Source organism: Homo sapiens, chromosome 3 (genome assembly GCF_000001405.40).
Source record: "Homo sapiens chromosome 3, GRCh38.p14 Primary Assembly".
NCBI classification, from domain to species: Eukaryota; Metazoa; Chordata; class Mammalia; order Primates; family Hominidae; genus Homo; species Homo sapiens.
The window spans coordinates 37,159,261-37,179,374 of record NC_000003.12 but is presented as its reverse complement, the minus strand read 5'-3'; the positions used below and the strand labels follow the sequence as shown (position 1 = coordinate 37,179,374).

Sequence of the window (20,114 nt, the reverse complement as noted above, 5' to 3'; positions counted from 1 at the left end):
AGTTGTATAATGTTGCAGGTTTATTAGGGCAGGATGACATGGAACAGTATGACCAGAGAAAGCAACCACCTTACAAATAAATCACTTTCAATTGTGTTGACCCAGATAATTTTAAAAATAAACTTGTAATTCAAGATGAGCACTAGGACAAGCTTATTAACATTTGCTAATTTAGGAGAGGAAGGGCCAAGTCAAATATAATAAAAATGAATTACTGCAAAATGGAAACTTTTTGATATGAAACATAAAAATAAATTAAAAACCTAAAGACTGTAGTATGTCAATTTCCTGGTTTTAATAAGGTATTATAGATATGTAAGATATCAATAGGGTAAACTGGGCAAATACTACACATGCCCGCTATACTATTTTTGCAACTTTTTAATAATTATATCCAAATAAAAAGTAAAAAAGAAAAAAATAACAACATGAAAAAATAAATCTAGATAGGAATTCTTAGAAGGAGAACTTAAAACAAATATACACAGTAAAAGACAATTACATTGCCAGGTTTCCATAGGCTTGTAAGGAGTTAAATAAAATTAGAAAAATGTTTCTAACACACACACAGACACACTTTTTTTTTTGGAGACAGGGTCCTGCTCTGTCATGCAGGCTGGAGGACAGTGGTACGATCACATCTTACTGCAGCCTTGACCTCCTGGGCCCAAGCAATCCTCCCACCTGGGTCTCCCAAGTAGCTGAGACTAACAGGCACATGCCACCATGCCCAGCTAATTTTCTGTAGAGACAAGGTTTCACCATGTTCCCCAGGCTGGTCATGAACTCCTAAGCTTATGCAATTCACCTGTCTTGGCATCCCAAAGTAGTGGGATTACAGGTGTGAGCCATTGTGCCTGGACCAGACACACTTTACCAATACAAATATTAGGCTTTCAAAAGTGGTATCCTACTTTTAATGTTTGAACTAATGATCTTTCACATCTTAGAGATGTGCAGTGTGAAACACAGTATTACCGTGTTTGTGAAAGACAACTTTTGTGAAAACCACAAAAATAAGTATTTGCTCTTAAGAAAGGAAAAAATTTATTGCTTGGCCTCATCAAAGAAAACTGAAGAATTTGCTATGAAAGGAACAAAAATGTACAAATTGTACCACCTCAACCCCCCAAACTGTATAAACAACTGCAAAATTTTCCTTCATCTATTGATACAACCCCAGAGAAGCCAGTCCTCACAGACCTGGGGGCATTCCCATGTCAGAATATTCCATAAAGATCTAGGAACACATACATTTGGCAGAAATAAATCAATTAAGGTGCAGGGAAAGATTGCCCATGAAATAATTTATGGTGATGCATTTAGTAGGGCCAGAGAGATCTGAGTTCAAATTTTGGCTCTTCCAGCTACTAGTTTTGCTACCTTAGGTATGTCACAATCTCTCTGAATCTCAATGTCTTTGTTACTAAAGTGGGTATAATGATACCCATATCTCAAGGTTAGTCCTAATACTGGAAGCACAATGCTGTGTAAATAGAAGGTGATTAAGTGTTAGCTACCTCCCAGTCCCTTTTCCCAGAAACACAATGCAAAATATTTCTGCTGGTTTGCATGAATCAAAACAAGTGGCTAAGGAGAAAAATTAAAAGGGCAAGAGAATCTAATGTATTATCCAGACAATCTATTAATTATGTCGTTAATATTTAATACGTGTTGGGTTTTTGGTATTATTCAGGTACTGCATCTGAATAGATCCTCTCACTTTGTCTTCAACAAATTTGGCAAAAGATGTCATTAATCATTTTATTCAGATCACAACATGCCAACGTAAAAATCATAGTTTTAATGTTTACTCATGACTCTGAGAAATATAGTGACATAGAAACAGTGAAAAGGTAAAGAATTTGTCTCTCAAAGCTGATGGGTATAATTCTCCCTGTCTCTCGAACCTCCCCCATTAGTGCCACAGTGCCAGCCCCCATAAACTGTAAGGGTGATCAAGCCTTCTGAAATTGCAGGGGAAGTGGGCAGCACAGAAACAGCCCTTAGAAGGCTTTAGAGACAGGTGCTCAACATGGAATTAGTGGGCTTATTCAGGGGGTTCTGGAATCTGCAGTCCCTGTATGTAAAGTCGTGGTTAGGTGTATTTCGTGCCTTTTTTGTCAGGAGGCTCCTCAACTATCACTTCCTCCTAGAGGTCTTTTTTAGCCATCCTATCCAGCCAGAGGCTTCGTCTACAAAATCTTTTTCATCACTCTGTGTGTTTCCTGCAAAGCCATACTACACCTGTCATTACCTTGTTTGTTTGCTTCAGCCAGTCTATTCCACTAAGGTAAGCTTTTCAAATGCACGACCCTGGTCCTTCCCCAGTGCCTTGAACCTGGTGGGCCTCGTTAGATATTTCCGGAATAAATAACAAGTCCGTGTCTATCAGATTTTTAACAGACTCTATACTCCTCCCTCCATCCCGCTCCCCGCCCCCCCCCCCACACCTCTCGCGCAAGCATTCTTCTCCAGAAATAATTTTAAGGTCATGCGTCTTCATTTTTGAAACGAGGCTTGGGCATTTCGACCACACCCACCCTCCCTCCCTCGCATACTCGTTTCCTAACAGAGCGCTACTCCAGCCCACTTGCCCAAGCCCACCAGGCCGCAGGGTTTGGGGCAACCAGGGGTGGGGCAGCCCTGAACCGGAACAAGTGTCAATTCACATTACCCGCACTGGTCCTGGTTCGAAGAGCCTGGGCAGGAACCGTGGGACCCAGAGAAGCCACCCGCCCAAGGCCGCCTCCGGCCTCCGCCCCGCCAGCAGCCCAGGGCCCCGCCCTACCGGCAGCCGCGCCTCGCCGCCCTCCCTCCAGCTTGGCCCTAACGGCTCGCAATGGCGGAACAGGGAGCCAGGGGCATCGCCGCTTGGGGAACCTCACCCGCCGGCCCAGGGCTCAGCTCGCCGTGTGACAGCCCCGGGTACTTTGCCCAGCGGGGTGCAAGCCCGGACCGCGGCAAGCGCCACTCCCGGGCAGTCGCGGCCACAACTGCTTCCGGGTGAGTGGGTCGTCGACCCTGTGGCCCCGCCCATCCTTCGCCTCCTCAGTCGGCCGCTCAGGCTGCGGCTCCTCCCGGGGCCGGTTCCCGCTGTCTCAGCCGCGGCGCAGAGGGCACATCGGCCTGACCGACTAGCCGGCTGCCAGTGCCGGGAGCCGCCGCGTCCATCCCCGCCCGCCTGGCCGGGGACCCAGGACTGAGTCGTCCAGCTGCGCCCCTCGCCCATAGCCCCAGCGGGCGCCGGGCGGGCGAGCAGCTCTTCGGCCCTTCCCGGACAGCGACGCAGTCGCAGCGCGCGCCCTAACACAGGTAAGGGCCGCTCCTCCCGCCAGCCCGGTGGGAGCAGGGAGCGGGGAGTTGGGAACCTTTTTCCCGGCCTCCGCAGTCCCGTGGGATCCGCGCCGCCTCCGACCTCGGCTAGGGGGCCGGGCTTCCCTGGGGACTGGCCGGCCCGCGGCGGGCTCCCGGGCTGGGGTCGCCCCCTGCCTGCGGCGTTCTCAGACATCCCGTCTGATTTCTAACGCTCACCCTTCCACCGCGCTGGGGAAAAGGTACGTGTTATTCCCACTGTGGGAGAAATTAAATTGGGCAGCTGTCCCTCCGTTTCGGGTGCCCTAGGCGCCTTCTCTTCCTCCTTAGACGCCACACTACGGTTCTGTCCCAGGACGAGCACCCCCAGGGAACGGTGTCAGGACGGTGTAGGGCGTAGCATTTTTTGGGAATTTTACTTCTTCCTCCTTGACCTGAGCTGGATCGCGCGGGTTTAACAGGCGCTAGCTGGGTTAATACTTGACTAATACGAGGCGTTATTGACACCCAGATTGTTAAGTTACAGAACTCCAGTCAGCCCTGCCTGTGAGTAACCAGCAGCATGCAGGAGGACCTAAGGAAACCCACTTCTTTTTCTTTCTTAGAGGGAAAAAAGTTCAAGTGTTTGCTTTACTTTTTTCACCGTGGGAGATACAAATACAGGCTGCTGAGACATGGCTAGATAAATATTGTATCCTAAACCTTAACTGTTAGTAGCTGGTTTTCTTTGAGTTTCCATTTAGTGACTCAGCGTTTCTACTATAAACAGAAAAATTGTAGAGTGGATTGATTGACTAAAAATGATATGTAAGGATAAAGGTGACTTAATTTTTTTATGTTGTCATAATGGGAAGAGAATGTGGATGTAGTAATGAAACAAGAGAGAAGGAGAGCGGGGTATGGATGTATAAGTTCTTAATCAGTGTTTAAAATAATATTTTTTCAAGATAACATTTTATTTTGAGGATAAATCTATATGAAAAAGTGCAGTTATTGGAGAATGCAGTGTTGCAAATAGAATTAGTTGGCAGGGACTCCACGGTTGTTGTGGTTTGAATATCTTGCAGCACTAACCCTGTTTAACCAACGTCATGCTCTGTTTAACAGATGCAGAGATAATGACCTAGTATTATAATATGTAGAATAAGAATTTCAGAAAGTGTGATTCATTTCGAAGGTAGATCACTCACTTTGTGAATCATTGCTATGAATCTGAAAATTGAAATAGAGGAAACCTAAGTTCGTATCTGCCTAATGAGATGGCATTCTTTACTCATTTTATAGGAAGTGTTGTATTATGTTTTGTTAGGTCTGTTGCTGGATATTTATCATCGTGAAGAATGGTAATGAAATAAAAGTTGAAGTATTTGCAGAATGCTGGAATTTAGAATAGTTTGTTGGTTTATAAGTGATTGCTTTGATTTTACTCCTTCCCCCCCTTTTTTTTTTGCCAGATGTGGGAAGATAAATGAAGGGGTCTAGATGTAAATGTCAGTGGAAAGGAGAGCTACCATCACTAAGGTATGAAAATGTTCACTGAAAGAATTTGCACTATACAAAATAGTCTTTTGAGTGGAAAGCATCACCCATTTTTGTGATTCTGTCTTTAAAAATGTAGAATGAAACTACATGAGTTATTAAGTTCTGTTCTAGAAGAAAGTGTGTATTGAAGTTGTGATTGGAATGGATTCACTTTAAACTAGAAATAGCTTTTTATTGCTGAAATGTAATTTGCTCATTTTTGACTTTAAAAATGTTAAGTAAAATAAGGTTGAAATCACAGAGTTCTTAATACCCTTACCCTTGTTTTTCTTTTCCTTCTGTTAGAGTTCAGCTGATTTTTACCTTGATTTTCATTTATAAAGAACTTTAGTTAAAAAATAATGGCAAGTCTATCCTGTTGGTCTAGCTTACTAAATTCCTTTACTTCTTTCACTAAATTTTGGCATCTTTTTTTTACTTTGGATATCCATTATATTCAGAGTGTTCCCTAATGTTGCTTTTGATTTTTGTCCAGCTAATTTAAATAGTGACTTAAGAGTTTCAGTTCCCTGTGAACACAGATTCCCTTTTGGAAAATCCCTTTTGGAAATCACCGTAACTGACAGTCTTGATAGGTAAATATGCAAGGGAAACCTTCCTAGGTCAGGATTTAAGTATCTCCGTTAACGAAAGGAAAAGGTAATATGGAGAATATATTTGGCAAAGTATCTCTGTCTCTCAAAACAAAAACAAATCTTTATTAGAAATGAATTTAGCAAGAGGGAGGGAGCAATTTCTTGAAGAACTCTTTGTGGATTGTTTACCCTGTTCCTAGTGTGAGAAGCAACAGAGTTGATGATATATAGAAAAAAATAATTCTTGCAGTGTGCTGGGAATGTTGATGAGGATCATTCAGAAGGAAATAAAATTCTTCTGTCTTTATCTTAGGATCATCATCCATTGCACCTGCAAAATACAGGCTGTTTCGTAGCTTTTTCCTTTTAGGTAGTTGCTTTCTATGTGGAACATCTAAATTGAGAGATGGTCCTTTAATAGGGAAAATGTACTACTTTGTTCAGTCTGCAAATAAAGAATATAATCTGTGATCATCATTTAAAACTCAACTTTTGGAAGCCAAGGCAGAAGGATTGCTTGAGCCCAGGAGTTTAAGACCAGTCTGGGCAACATAGTGAGACCCTGTCTCTACAAAAAAATTAGCTGGTGGTGTGTCCCTGCAGTCCCAGCTGCTTGTGAGGCTGAGATGGGAAGACCACATGAGTTCTGCAGTGAGCCCTGAAAACACCACTGCACTCCAGCCAGGGAGACAGGGTGAGACCCTGTCTCAAGAATAAATAAATGAAACTCAACTTTTTTTTTTTTTAGGTGGAGTCTCGCTCTGTCGCCCAGGCTGGAGTGCAGTGGCGCAATCTCGGCTCACTGCAAGCTCCGCCTTCTGGGTTCATGCCATTCTCCTGCCTCAGCCTACCCAGTAGCTTTGACTACAGGCGCCCGCCACCATGCCCAGCTAATTTTTTATTTTTTATTTTTTAGTAGAGACGGGGTTTCACCCTGTTAGCCAGGATGGCTTCGATCTCCTGACCTCGTGATCTGCCCGCCTTGGCCTCCCAAAGTGCTGGGATTACAGGGATGAGCCACCACGCCCGGCCAATAAAACTCAACTTTTAAAACTTCAGAAGGAAGGAATTGAACAAAACTTGCCTTGTGAACTTTTTGGCTTATAATAAATTATGCTGGACTTCAAAGGAGTCAAACAACTAGGCTAAAAACTGGGTTGATCATGTGTTATACTTCTTCATTAGTTCATTATTCATTTATTTTGATGGGGAGGTCAAGAGATAATTCCACTTCATAGGGAACATATGTATGCATTTGTTTTAGCCTAGTGGTAGGGAGAGCAGTAGATAAAAGTAGAGATAATTAGGGAAGGGGAAGAAATGGCATTATAGAAGGAGAATGCTTATTTCATGGGTTCAGTAGATGTTTATGGGACTTTTAAAAATTGATAAAACATTTTAAAAGGTGGTATATGATGAAAAGAAAGTCTGCTTTCCACCACAAACTCCCAGCCTTTCCTTACCCCAACCCCCCAATCCAAGCAACCATATTCAATCACATATGTCTAGGAGAAATATATTGTATCTTTCATTCTTATCTTTGGCATATGAAGATCTTTTTGTATTTAGCACATATTTCTTACTTTTTTAAAAAAGACCGCATGCCTTGCTAGTGTAGATGAACCATAATTTATTCATTTTCCGTAATTTATTTTACCATTTTCTATTGACAGATATTTAGGTTGTTTTTAGCCTTCTACAAACACTGCTGTAATGAACAATACATATATAAGTCTTTGCATTAGTTAGTATCTATACAGAATGTATTTTCAAAGTGTGACTGTAAGATTGAGACTGAAGTTATGAAAAGTTAAAACTATTTCAATCCCATGTTGGCTTTATTTATAATAGAATTTAACTTATTTCTTGGGCTTGTGGAAGGGGAAAGGAGCTCTTAATTACTTTGTATTCTTTATCCATCTCTCCATTTAAAAAATATTGCAAATTATTTTATAAGGTACTTAAAAACATTTGAGTGTCAGGTGATTAATTTTATTTGTATTGGTAAAAGTAGAAATATTGTGGTTTGAAGACTGGTACTGTCATATAGAAGCATTTATATTTGATAATAGTTAAATGGCTACATCTTAAGTAGGTTGATTGTTTCAGAATTTTATGACCAGTATCAATTAAAAGCATTGTGTATAGTTTAAATTCTTGCCCTGCATAAGTCGGCTACTATATTATTAGTCAGGAAAGAAGTAAATAATCTACCTCCTTTTTTCCTTTACCTTCCACATCCTAATCTATACATAATAAAATAAACCTCTATGGAGTTTGAGATCCAAAAATCCTTTTGCAAACTAGAGTGCTATTTGATGGATTACTTTCTCAAGGCAGGAAGGAGGTACAGATTCAATCTTTATTCTGCAAAGTTTTTGTAAACAGAATAAAGGAGGCTTAGGTTTGATGTTATATAGGTTACTTGTGGCCAGGAGGAGGTTCAGGATTCTTTGCCTTTTTGAAATGAGAGAGACACTAGAGAGAAAAAAAAAAAATTACATACTGAAGGGCTATAGTTTGATGAAGTCGGAACTCATGAGTGGCAGCTTCCCTGGCTTGTGCCCAGGGTCTATTTTGAGACCTTGTCAAAGCTTGCCTGACAGAACCTACCACATAACCATAATCTGGCCTGGTCCTCTTGCAAGTCAGGAAGGCCTGCGGTTTAGGATCAGTGGCAAGCACAGAAGGGGGAGTTATAAAGGACATTTTGCCTTCAGAAGATTAAGGCTAGGTTTTGGGGTGAACAACTACTTAGCCCGTATATCCGAGGATCCAAGTTTTTAGTGCTACCTCCTCCTCCCCTGCTTCTTCCTCTTATTAAGGAAAGCTAAGGAATAAAGGTTTTGTTTGTTTGTGTGTTTGTTTTGAGACAGGGTCTCACTCTGATGCCCACGCTGGAGTCCAGTGGTATGAACACAGATCACTGCAGCCTCGACTTCCTGGGCTCGGGTGATTCTCCCACCTCAGCCTCCCAAGTAGCTGAGACTACATGCATACATCATCACACAGGGCCAATTTTTGTATTTTTTGTAGAAACGGGGTGTCCGCATGTTGCCCACGCTGGTCTCTAACTCCTGGGCTCACATCGTTCACCCACCTTGGCCTCCCAAATTGCTGGGATTACAAGCATGAGCCACTGCGCCCGTCCAGGAGGAAAGTTTTTAGAAAAAGGTGCACAAGAAAGAGCATAGGATTGTGCCAGCATTGATGTTATCTTCTGGTTATATGAGAGTGTTTGCCAAGAATCGGTCAAATGTTTTACATTAGGGAAAAAGCATTATTGTTACTGGCATAGGGAGGGCCCCAGTTAAAATAGCAGTCCAATTCAGAGACCTTCGTATTTGTCGTTAAGATCAAAAGGACTCTTGGAATAATGGACTATGCTACAGGATTATTTTAAGTTCAGATAGATAAATTAGCTTCTTCCCAAATTCTCATTCTGCTTTTCCTGTGGTACTATATAGTATCATGAAGTTATATCTTTAAACTCTTAGTTTGTACTATGTGGTGTCTTATGAAAACCTTGATTTGTTTATACTTAGTGAATGAAACACTTGGGTTTAAAGTTCTTTAACTGATGTCACTTCTTAGGCTAGAAAGCTGTTGAAAGAACTTAGTGTTCCACCCTTAGACCAAGGTTCATGTCACCATATTTAACAGCAGCTTTGTATTACGGTCAAGATTGTTTGAAGAATTCAGCATACAAACTTAATTTACAGATGCAAGCCTGCAGATGGACCTCCCCACCCCCACTTTTTTGCTTTAGATTAGGTTGTGACTGGAGGAAATTTAGTTTTCCTTTGCCTTCAGTTATTTGCAGCTGTTCACATTTATGATGATGAGAATGATGATGATGATAATGTATTTAGGATTCAGTGTGAGGAGAAAAAATAAACTAGTTTTTCTTTCTTCCTTATCAGTTTATTCCCATTATCTTATTTTCCCTTCTCTGTCTCTGCCTTCCTTTCCTCCTCGGGAAAAAAAAGAAAAAGAAAAGAAATAAAAAGCAGCAGTGAAAGAAAGTGGTAAAGAGCTGGGAAAAGCCTTGGAATACATACCAGGGTGCTTTCTCAGAGGTGGAATATAAACACCTTCATTAAAGAATCATGGATTATCTTTTTCCATTGTTTTCATTTTGAACCCTGTATATCTTAGTGTTCCTTCATTACCACATTTTAACTACTTTTGATATAACAGATATCTTTACTGCTTTAGGGAAGCAAATTTAATTTTTATGTTACTGTTCTGAGCATGTTGTTCCTTACATGCCCACTTTCCTAAGTAGAAATATATTAACAGCTAGAAGAAATCTTTTGGCTTTCTGTTTTGTAAGTTAGAGTATACCGTACTGTATGCAGAGGATTAGGATGTTAAAATATTTATTTCCCTGTTAAATGGCTTAAATCATGAACAAACTGAATATATAGCATTGCTTTTTTTAAAAAGTGAGTATCCCAGTTAAGTGACCTAAGGATTATAGGACTAAATGTAGAAAAAAATTCAGCTTTAGATTAGATGTTTTTTCCCTTGTCACAGATAATGCTGTATCTAGGTGAACAGTCAAGGAAATGAGAGGGCATTGTTCTTGTCTTGCCAGATTCATCCTTTGCAATCAAATAAAGTTTGTTTTGTTTTTAAAATTGTGGTACAATATAGATAACATAAAATTTACTCTGTTGACCTTTTTTAAAAATATTTTTATTATGGTAAAATACAGTCATTTGTTGCTTAATGACAGGAATATGTTCTGGGAAATGCATCATTAGGTAATTTTGTCAAGCAAACATCATAGAGTATACTTACACTAACCTGGACAGTATAGCCTACTACACACCTAGACTATATGGTATAGTCTGTGGTTCCTGGGCCATAAACTTGTGCAGCATGTCACTGTACTGAATACTATAACTGTAGACAATTATAACACAGTGGTAAATTTTCGTGTATCTAAACATAGAAAAGATACAGTTAAAATATGATATAAAAGATTAGAAAATAGGCCAGGCATGGTGGTGTGCACCTGTAATTCCAGGTACTCAGGCTGAGGTAGGAGGATCACTTGAGATCAGGAGTTCTAGGCTGTAGTGTGCTATGAGCACATCTATGAATAGGCACTGCGTTCCAGCCTGGGCAACATAGTGAGGCCCCATCTCTTAAAAGGGCACACGTGTATAGGACAGCTCCATTATAATCTTATGGGACCACTGTAATATGTGTAATCCATTGTTGACTGGAACATCCTTATGCAGCACATGACTGTGTACATAACTTAAAATTTATCATTTAAACCATTTTTAAGTGTACAATTCGGTGGTATAAAGTACATTTACATTATTGTGTAACTATCACCTCTATCCATCTCCCTAACTTTTTCATCATCCTAAACAAGCTCTGCCCATTAAACAATATCACCTCATGCCCATAGCCCTTGGTAACCATTGTTCTACTTTTTGACTCTATGAATTTGTGTACTCCAGGTACCTCGTATAAATGGAATTATGTAATATTTGTCTTTGTGTCTGGCTCATTTCTCTTAGCATGATGTCTTCAAGATTCATCCATGTCATAGCATGTATCAGAATTTCATTTGTTTTAAGGCTGAAAAATATTCCTTCGTATGTTTATACCATATTGTTTAATCATCTTTTGATAGATGGGTTGTTTCCATCTTTCTGCTTTTGGGAATAGTGCCACCATGAATATGAGTATGCAAATGTCTGTTTGAGTGCCACATTCAATTCTTTTGTGTATGTACCCAGAAGTGGAATTGCTAGTAATTTGATAATTACCAAATTTCATTTGGTAATTCTATGCTTAATATTTTGAGAAACCACCATACTATTTTCCACAGTGGCTATACCATTTTACATTACCACCAGCAATGCACAAGGGTTCCAGTTTCTCCACATCCTTGCCAACATTTACTATTTTCTGTTTTCTTATTGATTGATTTTTATTTATGTTGAGCCAGGGTCTCACTCTGTCACCAAGACTGGAATGCAATGGCCCGACCACAGCTCACTGTAGCCTTGACCTCCCGGGCTTAAGTGTTCCTTCCCACCTCAGTCTCTCGAGTAGCTGGGAGTACAGGTGTGCACTGCCATGCCTGGCTAATTTTTGTATATTTTGTAGAGATGAGGTCTCTCCATTAGCCCAGGAGGGTCTCAAACTCCTGAGCTCCGCCAGCCTTGGCCTCCCAAAGTGCTGGGATTACAGGTGTGAGCCATTGTTCCTGGTCCCGTTTTCTTTTTTTTTTCTTTTTTCTTTCTTTCTTTTTTTTTTTTTTGAGACAGAGTGTTGCTCTGTTGCCTAGGCTAGAGTGCAGTGGCGCGATCTCGGCTCACTGCAACCTCTCCCTCCTGGGTTTAAGCGATTCTCCTGCCTTAGCCTCCCAAGTAGCTGGGACTATGGGCACCCGCCACCACGCCCGGCTAATTTTCGTATTTTCAGTAGAGACGGGGTTTCGCCCTATTGGCCAGGCTGGTCTCGAACTCCTGACTTTGTGATCTGCCCGCCTCGGCCTCCCAAAGTGCTGGGATTACAGGCGTGAGCCACTGCACCCGGCCTGCTTGTGCCTGGCCCTGTTTTCTAACACAAAAAAATCGATTATTTTTAAAATAAAATCTCTAATAGGGTGGTATTTCACTGTGGTTTTGATTTGTATTTCCCTGGTGATGGGTGACATTGTGCATCTTTTCTTTTTCTCTTCTTTTCTTTCTTTCTTTCTTTTTTTTTTTTTTTTGGAGACAAGATTTTGCTTTGGCACCCAGGCTGGAGTGTAGTGTCACAATCATGCCTCACTGCAGCCTCGACCTCCTGGGCTAAAATGATCCTCCCACCTCAGCCTCTCCAGTAGCTGGGACCACAGGCATGTACCACCATGTTCAGCTGATTTTCTTTTCTCCTTCTGTTTCTTTTTTTTTTGAGACAGAGTTTCGCCCTTGTTGCCCAGGCTGGAGTGCAATGGCGCTATCTCTGCTCACTGCAACCTCTGCCTCCCAGGTTGAAGCGATTCTGCCTCAGCCTCCCAAGTAGCTGGGATTACAGGCATGCGCCACCATGTCCAGCTAATTTTGTATTTACAGTAGAGATGGGGTTTCTCCATGTTGACCAGGCTGGTCTCGAACTCCCAACCTCAGGTGATCCGCCCACCTCAGCCTCCCAAAGTGCTGGGATTACAGGCATGAGCCACTGTGCCTTGCCTCTTTTTTTTTATATTTTGTAGAGACATGTTGCCCAGGCTGGTCTCCAACTCTGGGTTCAAGCAACGTCCAGGCTGGTCTCCAACTCCTGGGCTCGAGCAATACTCCTGCCTCAGCCTCCCAAAGTGCTGGGATTACGTATGTTGAGCCATCATGCCCGGCTGAGCATCTTTTCATGTGACCATTTTTGTATCTTCTTTGAAGAAATGTCTACTTATGTCTTTTATCTTTTTAATTGGGTTTTTGTTGTTGCTTAGTTGTAGGAGTTCTTTATATCAATCCTTTATCAGCTATGTGATTTGCAAATTTTTTTTTATTCCGTGGTTTGCCTTTTTACTTTTTGATAGTGTGCTTTGATGTACACAGTTTTGTTTTTATTTTATTTTATTTTATTTTATGTTATGTTATTTTAAGATGGAGTCTTGCTCTGCCCAGGCTGGAGTGCAGTGGCCCAATCTCGGCTCACTGCAACCTCCGCCTCCTGGGTTCAAGCTATTCTCCTGCCTCAGTCTCCTGAATAGCTGGGATTACAGGCATGCGCCACCATGCCTGGCTAATTTTTGTATTTTTAGTAGAGACGGGTTTTCACCATGTTGGCCAGGCTGGCCTTGAACTCCTGACCTCGTGATCTGCCTGCCTTCCAAAGTGCTGGGATTCCAGATGTGAGCCACCGCGCCCTGCCCAGAGTTTTTAATTTTGATGAAATCCAACTTACCTTTTCTTTTGTTGCTTCTGCTTTTGGTATTATGTCCAAGAAATCATTGCCAAATTCAATATCATGAAGTTTTTCCCATATATTTTCTCCTACGAGTTTTATGGTTTTAGCTCATTTGTTTAGGTCTTTGATCCATTTTGAGTTTTTTCTTCTTTCTTTCTTTCTCTTTCTTTCTTTCTTTCTTTCTTTCTTTCTTTCTTTCTTTCTTTCTTTCTTTCTTTCTTTCTCTTTCTTTCTCTTTTCTTTTCTTTTCTTTTCTTTTTTTTGTGACAGAGTTTCTCTCTTGTTGCCCGGGCTAGAGTGCAATGGTGTAATCTCGGGCTCACTGCAACCTCCACCACCTCCTGGGTTCGAGCAATTCTCTGGCCTCAGCCTCCCGAGTAGATGGGATTACAGGCACCTGCCACCACGCCCAGCTAATTTTTGTATTTTTAGTAGAGACAGGGTTTCACTGGTCAGGCTGGTCTTGAACTCTTGACCTCAGGTGATCCGCCTGCCTTGGCCTCCCAAAGTGCTGGGATTATAGGCGTTAGCCACCATGCCTGACCCCTGAGTTAACTTTTCTATATGGTATAAGGCAGTGGTCCCCAACCTTTTTGGCACCAGGATTCAGTTTTGTGGAAAGCAATTTTTCCATGGACGGGGGTGGGGTGGGTGGGGGGGTTGGTTTCGGGATGAAACCATTTCATCTCAGATGATCATCAGGCATTAGATTCTCATAAGGAACGCACAACCTAGATCCCTCACATGCACAGTTCATTTTTTTTTGTTTTTTTGTTTTTTTTTTTGAGACAGAGTCTCGCTCTGTCACCCAGGCTGGAGTGCAGTGGTGCAGTCTCGGCTCACTGGAAGCTCCGCCTCCCAGGTTCACGCCATTCTCCTGCCTCAGCCTCCCAAGTAGCTGGAACTATAGGCGCTCACCACCACGCCTGGCTAATTTTTTGTATTTTTAGTAGAGATGGGGTTTCACCATGTTAGCCAGGATGGTCTCGATCTCCCGACCTCGTGATCTGCCAGCCTCGGCCTCCCAAAGTGCTGGGATTACAGGCGTCAGCCACCGCACCAGGCTGGAAGACAGTCTTATATAATGTAACATAGTTATGGGAGTAGCATCCTGTATAACCTTTGCCATATTCTGTTGGTTAGAAGTAAGTCACAGGACCCACCTACATTCATGGGGGAAGTAATTACACAAAGGTGTGAACAGTAGGAAGGGCGATTAGGGTGGGGAACCACCTTAGAATTTGTCTACCATAACTGATTACAAAATAGCATGTTTTAGGAACTTTTTTTTTTTTTTTTGAGACGGAGTCTTTTTCTGTCATCCAGGCTGGAGTGCAGTGGCATGATCTTGGCTCACTGCAACCTCTGCCTCCCACATTCAAGCAATTTTCCCGCCTCTGCCTCCCATGTGGCTGAGATTACAGGCGCCTGCCACCATGCATGCCTGGCTAATTTTTGTATTTTTAGTAGAGATGGGTTTCACCATGTTGGTCAGGCTGATCTCGAACTCCTGACCTCAGGTGATCTGCCCACTTCAGCCTTCCAAAGTGCTGGAATTACAGGCATGAGCCGCCATGCCCTGCCATATTAACCAATTTTTGTTTAAAAAATAATGTTATTAAAATAGGAGTATCTTCGGATGGTGGGACTTACTGGTGGTTTTATTGTTATTTTGTATTTCTTCACTATTTCATCCCACTTTCCCTCCCTGCAACATTCCAATTTTGAAATTTTAAATCAATAGTTGGTGTTTTCATTATAATGAAATAAATATTGTTTACTGATCAGCCATGTGGTATATCATACTTGTTTCCTTTCTTGTTTAACTTTGTTTTTTCAGGGAGTTAAAATTTGCCTTTTACATTTACATAATTTTCTGTTTACCTGTTGCTTTCCCCCTAAATGCGCCAACAGATTTTTCAAGAGTCTTCATCTATCTATGTATCTATCCATCCATCCATTCTAGCTTATAACATCAATTTATAAGCTATAAAACGAATTTATTTTGCATAAAATTAGTTGTGAACTATAGAGAAATATAAAACAAAAATACAGTTTTAGGAAGAAGAATACATGAACACCTGTGGTCTCACTACCTAGGTCAAGAAATTACATGTTACATTTATCCTAGAAGTTTCCTCAAGATATCCTTTAATGGCACCCCCTCCCTTCCAGGAAATCACAAGCCTATTTTAACATATTAGTCATTCTCTTGGGACCATTCTCTGCTCAAGCCTGCAATATCCTCCATGTCCATACATGTATTTTTGGCCAAAATTTTTAATTTTGAAAAACCAAAAAGCTCTACTACCTCTCTAAGTCTGTTAGTCAGGATAGGCTGAACTACTTTAATGAATAATTACCAAATCAGTGGTTTTTAACACAAAATTTATTTCTCACTCACATCTTTGCTGTGAGTTGAAAAGCAGTGACAGAGTGGTGGTCTGTTCCACAGAGTCATTGAGGGACTCAGGCTGCTTTCAGCTAGTGATTCTGCCACCCACTGGGGCCTCAGAGACTTTGAATTTCCTGCATCTGGCTGGCAGATGCGAGGACAAAGAGAGGGACTGTGGTAGATTGCATGGAAAGTTTGATGGGCCAGGCCAGGATGTGGTATACATCAGTTTTGTCCGCATTCCACTGGCTAGAACTGAGTCAAATGGCTACACTTAACTGCAAGGAAGGAAAGGGAAAACGCCTTGGTCAACAATGAGCCAATCTCTGCCATGGTATGTATCCCTAAGAAATATATCATTTTGTTTTGGAAAACTGAATAGCAAGCATCAACTGAGGCTGTGAAAGGAAAGGTACATACTGCTGCTATTAGATGAAAGCTCTCAGAAGATAAGCTGAAAAGAGTCTTCCTTGATCTTTTTTGGATAAGTCATTGGGAAAGTTTGTTATTGAGTCTGGAGAAACACAGGCTCCCCACAGTCAGGGAATCTGGCAAAACTAAAGTGTTTACAAGATACTACGGTAAATATCTAGAAGAAATGTGATTGGGAGAGTAGATTGCTCTATGTGGTTTTGCTTCTAAGCTAAGCTTATCACGCTTTAGCTCTCAAGAATAAGGAAAAGCAAAACATGTCTGTGCTGTGAAATAAGTCTTCAGCCCATCTAGGCTCCAGGAACTTTATCAACACGGGGTCAAGACAAACTAAATTCCAATGAAAACCTGGACCAGGCACATCTCATGTTAAATGGATGTGCCCCAAAGGCTGTGGGGATTTTGGTAATGACAGTCCTTCATTATGTCTCTTGAGTCATATTGCTCCAATCTGTAGCTTTCTTTCTGAGATACACCTATCATTCTTCTGGAGGTTCCCTTTTGCCCCTCTTCTGTGTTTGATTTATTTCCTGTATGCTAAGTTTCCCTCTCTGTTGGTTTTTCAGTTTTACTTGCTGAAGCCTATCTTCTAGTAGCTTATTGACAAAGAGTGTAAAAGAGGTAAATTTTTGAGACCTTTCATGTCTGAAAATGCCTTTAATAATCAAGTATGAAAAAGAGGGATTTGACTGGTATAGGCTACTTATAGATTGTCTATAATTTTCCTTCAAGAGTTTGAAGGCATCACTCTTATCATCTTCTTGTTTCCAGAATTACTTTTGAAAGTCTTGAAGCCATTCTTAATCTTTTATGTGTGGCCTGACTTTCCTACCCTGTGGAAGCTTGTAAAGTCATCTTTGTTCTCATTGTTTAAAATTCACTAAGATATACCTTGGTGTGAACTCAGGACTTGTGTTGAACACTCTGGGCCCTTTTAGTCTGGCACCTCATGTTCTTAACTTCTGGGAAGTTATTTTATTAATAATTTATTTTTGTTTTCTCTCTCTCTCTCTTCTTTTTTTTTTTTTTTTTTTTTTGAGACAGGGTCTCACTTTGTCACCCAGGCTGGAGTACAGTAGCATCAACATGACTCACTACAACCTCGACCTCCTGGGCTCAAGCGATGCTCCTGCCTCAGTCCCCACCACGCCTAGCTAATATTTGTAGTTTTTGATAGAGATGAGAGGAGGTTTTGCCATGTTGTCCAGGCTCGAACTCCTGAGCTCAAGGGATCCACCTGCCTTGGTCTCCCAAAATGTTGGGATTACAGACATGAACCACCGCACCCAGCCTGTTTTCTCTTTCTCCAGTTATTTGAACGTTAGTCCCTATGGACTGATACTTTAACCTTATATATTTTTCTTTCTTATTTTCTACCTCTCTCTCTTTTTTTTTTTTTTCTGTTTTCTGTAAGACTTCTTGAACTTTATTTCCCAACCTGAGTTTTGTAAAACTAATTTTTTTATTGAGGTACTACTCGTGTGTCATAAAATTTACCCCTTTAAAGTAGTGACCTTTTCAGTGGTTTTTTAGTGTAGTCACAAAGTTGTGCAGCCATCAGCCCTAATTCCAGAAGGTTTTCATTACCCCTACAAGGAAACTTCATACCATAGCAGTCACTCTCCATTTCCTCTTTACCCGAGACTTTGTGGAAAGCACTAGTCTGTTATACTTTCTGTCCCTATGGATTTACCTATTCTGGACATTTTACATAAATGAAGTTATTCAATATGTAATCTTTGTGTCTGGCTTTTATCACTTCTCATGTTTTCATGATTCAACCTTGTTGTATGTAGCACGAGTCAATACTTTATTCCTTTTTTTTTCTTTCTTTCTTGAAACAGTCTTGCTTTTTGCCCAGGCTGGACGGAGTGCAGTGATGCGATCTTGGCTCACTGTAACCTCTGCCTCCTGGGTTCAAGTGATTCTCATGCCTCAGCCTCCAAGTAACTGGGATTACAGATGTGTCCCACCGTGCCTGGCTAATCTTTGCTTTTTTTTTTTTTTTTTTTTAGTAGATGGGGTTTCACCATGTTGACCAGGCTGGTCTCCAATTCTTGACCTCAAGTGATCCACCTGCTTTGGCCTTCCAAAGTGCTGGGATTACAGGCGTGAGCCATCATGTCAGGCCCAATATATTTGTTTTTATGGCTAGGTAATATTCCATTTTATGGATATGCCGCATTTGCTTATCCATTCATCAGCTGATGGACATTGGAATTGTTTTCACTTTTGGCTGTTAGGAGTAGTGCTACTGTGAATATTCCGTTACAAGTTTTTGTGTGGGCATAAGTTTTCAATTCTCTTGAGTATAGAGTGGAATTGATTATTTCTGTTGTGTTTTTAATTTCTACTGTCATGTTTTAATTTCCAAGATCTTGTATTCTCTGAATTTTTTTTTCTTTTTTTTTTTGAGACAGAGTTTCACTCCTGTTGCCCAGGCTTGAGTGCAATGGCGTGATCTCGGCTCACTGTAACCTCTGCCTCCTGGGTTAAAGTGATTCTACTGCCTCAGCCTCCTGAGTAGCTGGGATTACAGGCATGTACCACCACGCCCAGCTAATTTTGTATTTTTAGTAGAGATAGGGTTTCACCATGTTGGTCAGGCTGGTCTTGAACTCCTGACCTCAGGTGATCCGCCTGCGTCAGCCTCCCAAAGTGTTGGGATTACAGGTGTGAGACACTGCGCCCGACCCTGTTCTCTGAATATTTTAATAGCCCCTTGTTCTTGTTTCATGGCTATAATTTGCCTTAATTTTCTGAAGATATTAATGATGGTTATTTTTGAAGTTTTCTTCTCCCTGCGTAGTTTATTTTCACTAAGTTATTCTTCTGAGTTAGTGGGTTTTCACAGACTTCTTGGTTTGAAAGTAGGTGGGGTTGGTCAATTTTGACCTCCCTCGAAAAGGGGTATATATTTTGGTAGCAGGATGGGTGATTTAAAGGGGGCTGAAGCAGTCCCACATTTCAAAATGCATACTTTCACCTAAGCCCACACTTCCTACTCCCTCCCTGTTCCCATTGCTTACCCTTCCCTTCCCCAGAGCCCCTTTGTCTTCTAGAACTTCTGGTATCCTGGAGAATAGGAGATGAAGTTGAAGCTGAGGTAATAGCCTAGCAATGGAAAGGGGACCTGGAGGTCTAACTACTTAATTAAAGACTTTTAAGTGAATTTTTTTTTTTTTTTTTTTTTTTTTTTTTTTGCGCATAGGGCTTACTCATTGGGCTCAAGCAATCCTCCTGCCTCAGCCCTGCAAGTAGCTGGGACTACAGGTGTGAGCCACTATACCTGGCTAATTTTTGTGTCAAAACCCCAGCTGCCTTTTTTTCCTCCCCTTCTTTTTCTTTCCTTTTTTTTTTTTTTCTTCCAGAAATTGAGAAACTCAGGCTGGGTGCAGTGGCTCACGCCTGTAATCCCAGCACTTTGGGAGGTGGAGGCAGGTGGATCACCTGATGTCAGGAGTTTGAGAACAGCCTGGCCAACGTGGTGAAACCCCATCTCTATTAAAAATACAAAAATTAGCCAGGCGTGGTGGCACATGCCTGTAATCCCAGGTATTCAGGAGGCTGAGGTAGGAGAATTGCTTGAGTCAGGGAGAAGGAGGTTACACTGAGCTGAGATCGCACCACTGCACTCCAACCTGGCCAGCAGCGAGACTCTGTCAAAAAAAACAAAAAAGAGAAAGTAACAAACTCATTCTAAAATTTATATGGGAATGTAAAGGGCCCAGAATAGCCAAACAGTGTTAAAGAACAAAAAATTTGGAGGACTCACTTTTTCCAATTAAAAAATTTACTGCAAAGCTATGTGAATCAAGATGGTGTGATACTGGCATAGGATAGACATTTAGCTCAATGAAATAGAATTAAGTATCCAGAAAGTAAACCCTTACTTTTATGGTCAGTTGATTTTTGACAAGGGTGGCAAGGTA

General features: G+C 41.4%; 1 protein-coding gene and 1 long non-coding RNA gene across 60 annotated transcripts in view, besides 4 other annotated features; one reads left to right on the top strand and one right to left on the bottom strand.

Annotated features, from left to right (window-relative positions):
* The window catches only part of LOC105377642 (uncharacterized), a 33,448-nt gene extending 30,450 nt beyond the window's left edge, over window positions 1–2,998 (bottom strand). For 2 of the 4 annotated variants that reach the window (XR_007095869.1, XR_007095871.1), the window contains exon 1: window positions 2,889–2,998. This is a non-coding gene — a long non-coding RNA (uncharacterized LOC105377642). Of the gene's footprint in view, window positions 1–2,791 lie in introns of all 4 variants that reach the window. The other 2 variants (XR_002959625.2, XR_007095870.1) reach the window with 1 other exon arrangement.
* Window positions 2,532–3,031: an enhancer, noted in NCBI's record as "H3K27ac hESC enhancer chr3:37217835-37218334 (GRCh37/hg19 assembly coordinates)". NCBI's record gives its function as "activates a minimal SCP1, AML or CMV promoter by ChIP-STARR-seq in naive H9 embryonic stem cells {active_cell/tissue: H9 hESC(naive)}" and the evidence as "EXISTENCE:reporter gene assay evidence [ECO:0000049][PMID:30033119]".
* Window positions 2,645–2,864: a silencer, noted in NCBI's record as "silent region_14198". NCBI's record gives its function as "represses an Ori minimal core promoter by ATAC-STARR-seq in GM12878 lymphoblastoid cells {active_cell/tissue: GM12878}" and the evidence as "EXISTENCE:reporter gene assay evidence [ECO:0000049][PMID:35858748]".
* Window positions 2,985–3,574: a silencer, noted in NCBI's record as "silent region_14197". NCBI's record gives its function as "represses an Ori minimal core promoter by ATAC-STARR-seq in GM12878 lymphoblastoid cells {active_cell/tissue: GM12878}" and the evidence as "EXISTENCE:reporter gene assay evidence [ECO:0000049][PMID:35858748]".
* The window catches only part of LRRFIP2 (LRR binding FLII interacting protein 2), a 123,735-nt gene continuing 106,635 nt past the window's right edge, over window positions 3,015–20,114 (top strand). For 37 of the 56 annotated variants that reach the window (NM_017724.2, NM_001348308.1, NM_001348304.1 and 34 more), the window contains exons 1-2: window positions 3,015–3,315; window positions 4,770–4,836. The gene's annotated coding sequence lies outside the window, so the exon portion shown is untranslated. Of the gene's footprint in view, window positions 3,558–4,159; window positions 4,213–4,484; window positions 4,659–4,769; window positions 4,837–6,348; window positions 6,585–20,114 lie in introns of those variants that run through there. The other 19 variants (NM_001348311.1, NM_001348309.1, XM_024453824.2 and 16 more) reach the window with 5 other exon arrangements.
* Window positions 3,032–3,533: an enhancer, noted in NCBI's record as "H3K27ac hESC enhancer chr3:37217333-37217834 (GRCh37/hg19 assembly coordinates)". NCBI's record gives its function as "activates a minimal SCP1, AML or CMV promoter by ChIP-STARR-seq in naive H9 embryonic stem cells {active_cell/tissue: H9 hESC(naive)}" and the evidence as "EXISTENCE:reporter gene assay evidence [ECO:0000049][PMID:30033119]".